General features: G+C 41.8%; 1 annotated feature.

Annotated features, from left to right (window-relative positions):
* Positions 3,414 to 4,142: an enhancer, noted in NCBI's record as "NANOG-H3K27ac-H3K4me1 hESC enhancer chr3:12265535-12266263 (GRCh37/hg19 assembly coordinates)". NCBI's record gives its function as "activates a minimal SCP1, AML or CMV promoter by ChIP-STARR-seq in primed H9 embryonic stem cells {active_cell/tissue: H9 hESC(primed)}" and the evidence as "EXISTENCE:reporter gene assay evidence [ECO:0000049][PMID:30033119]".

Below are 5,205 nucleotides of genomic sequence, written 5' to 3' on the forward strand. Positions count from 1 at the left end.
AATAGCTACAGGTCACTTTTTTTTTTCTTTTTTGCTTCTTCACAAGTCTTACCATTTTATATTGTATACTAGATATTGTGATGTTTTGTGTTGGTGTATGTTGTTATCTTCTTTCAAAGGGTATTGTGGGCTTTTTGGCAGGCAGCTAAAATACTTGGGGATCAGTTTGGTCCTTTTAAGGCTTCTTTTTAAGTTTGCTATGTAGATACAGAATCACCTAAGACTATAGTTAGTTGAGCCCTCCTTCTAAGGCTTGATCTTTCTGGGACCTCTACTGAATGTGCCAGGTGTTTAAAGAGGTCTGTCCTTGAATGCCTCCTAGCATTGTGTGAGCTCCAGGAATTGCTTCTAGCATCCTGATAGTTATGTTTGCCCCTGTTATTAGCCCTGCCTTGTGTAGTCTCATTCTGTGGGTGCTCAGCTTAGTATTCAGCCACAGGCTGAAGGAGAACTCATGCAAATTTCTGGAGCTTTTGCTCTGTGCAGCTCCTTTCTCACCATTACTCCATCCCAAACACTTTGTCTCCTCAGCCTCCCAGAACTTTAATCTCGGCCTCCTCAATCACCAGACCCCCATATACTGCCTGAGTTCCCCCTCCCTGGACTGTAGTCCAGATAGTGCCTTCAGCAGAAAGCTGGGGTGAGCAGAGGGCAACCTTGTTTGTCTCTCTTCTCTCTTTTTTTTTTTTTTTTTTTTTTTGAGGCGAAGTCTCGCTCTGTCGCCCAGGCTGGAGTGCAATGGCGCGATCTCGGCTCACTGCAAGCTCCGCCTCCCGGGTTCACGCCATTCTCCTGTCTCAGCCTCCCAAGTAGCTGGGACTTGTCTCTCTTCTCTTAAGGATCATGGTCCTGTGCTCTCCTTTGTCTAATATCTGAAAACTGTTGTTTCATACATTTTGTCCAGCTTTCTGGTTGTCTCCAGCGGGGAGAAAAACTCTGGTACCGGTTATTCCATCATGCCTGGAAGCAGAAGAGCTAGAATCTGCTCTCTGGTTTCATGGAACAATGATGGCTTATGTGTTCCCACTCTAGGTAATGTAAGGATGAATGAATGAATATGAATGTAATATAGTAAAATAAATTACCAGTGATGTAATCAGATCTCCTATAGCTTAAAGAAGCTTTAACTTCTCACCTTAAACAAGATTACTTTGTCATGTTGCCAGTTTAATTTAAGGTCCGTTCTTCCTCCTAGGCCATGCATATTCCAGATGCTATCCCTTTACAATGGGCCTTTAGTTACTCATTAACCCCACTGGAATGCCACCTTTAATGACATTAGCTATCTTCTGTGATTCTCTGCAACATAAGGGTAGGAGCATCAAATACACCTTATTTCCCTGAGGTACAAATAGTAATCTCCAGCTTGCTCCACTGATGTTGGAAATAAGTCATCCAACCATGTTTTTAAGGTCAGGCACGCTAATTTTTGTCTATCTTTCCATGGAGAAAATAAGGTTCTCTTTATATGATATAAAAGTGTAAGTTCTGCTATGGAGATGATGGCCAATCTCACTCAATTTGTGTTTGGGGTATGGATTTTGTTAATCATGGGGGACATGGTGAATCGAAGTGGGTCTCCCATATTTTTATGTATATTTTCTGACAGTCTACTCTTCAAGGCTTGTAACATATTAAATAATTTATATGAGTGAGAAATTAATCATTACATGAAGTCAAATCTCTTAGGTATAAAAATCTACGGTTTATATTAATTTGCGTTTTGCCTGGTGTGCACTACACAAGATATTAAGCAACTAAATGCAAAAAGGTAAGTAAAGGAGACACAATTATTTTCACGATTTAATGTTTATTCAAGTGCTCACAGCCTTCCTGGTGCTGCACTGAAAATACAATATAAGCAAAACTGGAAAACAGGTGGATTTCATTAGCAGAGAGGTTGTCCAGGTATACAGTGGGTTTCACCTTCCACACTATGAAAATACAGCAGTCTATGTGCATGTCAAAAGTGCCACATGAGCCAGGAGGCTTGACTGAGACAAAAAAATGTTTGGTGAGGGGAGGAGAGAGGCAGATTTGTATGCTTTTAAGATTAGAGGATTCCTAATTGTTTTCATGGCATAAGGATCTTATAGGAGTTGTTAAAAAGAGTTTAAGGTAAGAAAGAAAAATTCCAGTCCTTTAATGACTTACAGGTTTTCAGCACATCCTAGTTCTTTGACTTTATGAATGGGAAAAGGTAGCATGTATCCACTGGCTTAATCTAAGTTGTCAACAAGCCTTCTCTGAAGTTATTGAAATAAGAGGAGTGCCCACAGTTACTAAAGATCTTCCGGTGATAAAAGAGGAATTGCATAAACTTCTGGCTGCGTGCATTAGAATGATTCAGTGTTTCACAAAAAAATTTACTCCCGTTGACTCTCCAGTTAAGTAAAATTTCAGGAATACTTTCTCCTCATATTTGGTTGAGTCAGTCCAAAGACAAGAACTGCTCGCTCCTGCAGCAGTCATGGTTTCTGAAAGCTGGTCAGAGAGTTGCTTTCATTGCACCTTCTTCATCTCCATTTTTCCCCAAATACTCACTTTTGACTGAATGAATGAGCAGGATTCTATCATACCTGCAAGCAGAAAGTTTTTCTAAACCAGGTTAGCAAGGGCAAGATGGCTGGTGGGCTAAGAGCATGCTCTGAACTCCTTGCAATTGAGTTGCTTAATTCACCTGAAAAACCTGCTCCTCTTCTCTTGCTTATCAAGCATGTGCGTAGGGGACCTGATTAAGGAAGGATAGAAATAGGATATAAAGGCACTGCCACAAATCTGCAATGTGAACATCTACCTAATAAACCCTTTGTTGAAGGCCCATTAACCTTTAACTTCCGGGTCTATGCATACTGTCAACACTTGACTCTACAGAACTTTCAGAGAATGGCGTGCAGTTTGGATAGCCCAGTTTTCTGGATGGCTGTGAATAAGCAGTCAAGCTTTTAAAAAATTAACTGTTCTGGAAGGAAATCATCTGAAATTTGTTTTTCCCTTATAAACAAAATGTATAGAATACCATTTTCTTGAAGACATAATCATTATTATTCATTCATTTATTTATTTATTTTTAGATATGGAGTCTCACTCTGTCGCCCAGGCTGGAGTGCAGTGGTGCAATCATAGCTCACTGTGGCCTTGATCTCCTGGGCTCAAGCGATCCTCCCTCCTCAGCTTCCCTAGTAGCTGGGACTACAGGTGTGCACCACCACACCCAACTAATTCTTTCTATTTTGTGTAGAGATGGGGCCTCATGATGTTGCCCAGGCTGGTCTTGAACTCCTGGGTTCAAGCTGTCCTCCCGCTTCAGCCTCCCAGAGTGCTGGGATCACAGGTGTGAGCCACCATACCTGGAACCACTTTTAATTTGTTATTTTTAACTGGATATGGGCATAGGAATTATTATTGCCTGGTTTCTTGTGCAGAGACTCCCATATGAATAAAGTTCATTGACTGTGGTGCATAGACTTGGTGACATATATTTCATCTGCTCAAAGACATGTTTTACTGTCTTTTTTGGAAGATGTGTTCCAAATAGATGGGGCTGCTTGGGTTTCATTACTATATTATATAGTTTTGAATACACTGAGGAATTAATTCCCATACTACCAAATGAAATAGCAGATGCTGTGGTGCAGGGCCCCAAATTCCCCCTTCAGGACTAAGGCCTTCTTTGCCCAAGCAGCACATATTGACTGCTCAAAGCTCACAGCTTAGTTTCTCTGTGGGAGTCTCCGTCAGCCACAGAGAGCTTCCCCCAAGGTTATGTGCCCTCCCTGGGTGCAGCTCATATCCAGTGATCAGTCAGTGTGGGTATTCAAAGGCCCAGCCTCCCTGCCTTGACCGGAGACAACTTTGAAAGGCCACCCCAGCTCCAGAACTTTCTGTGGGACCAGTGGAGGCCTCTGTTGCAACCGTATTGCTTCCCTCACTCCTTTCCACTCCTTTATTCACTGAGAGCAGTCCCAGCGAGCCTCCTGCAAGCAGATCTCCATCTCAGAGTCTGTTCCTCAGGGAACCCACCCTAAGCACGGCAGCACAGTGAGTAAGGAGTTCCCAGGCTGACGTTAGCCAGCCAGTCCTTCACACTCCCATGATGTGAACATTTTGCTTTATGGTGGTACAGCAGGTCCCTGAATCACATAGTCAGTTCATTCTAAGTTTGATGAGAAAAAAACCTATCCCTGGCCGGGGCCACTGCCTGTGTGGAGTTCGCTCGTTCTTCCCATATCTGCAGGGGTTCTCTCAGGGCACTCCGCTTTCCTCCCACATTCCAGAGATTATGCACATTAGGTTCTTTGGCGTATCCCAGTGTGAGTAAGCGTGGGTGTGTGTGAGTGCGCCCTGCCATGGGATGTGAGTGTGGTTGGTGTGGGTGTGTGTGAGTGCGTCCTGGCTGGGGCTGGCTCCTGCCTTCTGAGCTGCCTGGCTGGACTTTGGCCACCTGAAACCCTGAATTGTTATAATTGGGTAACTCTTCTTATTTGTTTTTATTTATCTTTTTAAATGTATGTGTAGCTCACATTTATTTCAATGTTTACTGTTAGAAGTGTTTTGGTCTTTATTTAGAAGTTTGGTGGGTTTTGAGACCAGAAATATGCCATAGGAACTTAACTCTTGTTTACATTGGTCTATGGTAAAATTGGTTTCTTCAATGAAATCCCTATCAAAATACCAATGACATTCTTCACAAAAATGAAAAAAAAAATCCTAAAATTTATATGGAATCACAAGAGATCCCAAATAGCCAAAGCAATCCTAAGCAAAAAGAACAAAGCTGGAGATGTCACACTACCTGACTTCAAAATTTACTACAAAGCTATAGTGACCAAAACAGCATGATTTTGGCATAAAAACAGACACATAGACCAATGGAACAGAACAGAGAACTCAGATATAATTCCACACAATTACAGCCACCCCATCTTCAATAAAGATCCCAAGAACATACACTACGGAAAGGACAGTCTTTTTAATAAATGGTGCTGGGAAAACTGGATAGCTATAAACAGAAGAATGAAACAAGACCTCTATTCCTTACCATACACAAATATCAAATCAAAATGGCTTAAACACTTAACTCTAAGACCTGAAAAATGAAAGTACCAGAAGAAAACATGGGAAAATGCTCCAGGTCTGGGGAAAATTTTTTATATAAGACCTCAAAAGCACAGATAAATCAAAGCAAAAATAGACAAAGAGGAT

This window comes from Homo sapiens, chromosome 3, assembly GCF_000001405.40.
Source record: "Homo sapiens chromosome 3, GRCh38.p14 Primary Assembly".
NCBI classification, from domain to species: Eukaryota; Metazoa; Chordata; class Mammalia; order Primates; family Hominidae; genus Homo; species Homo sapiens.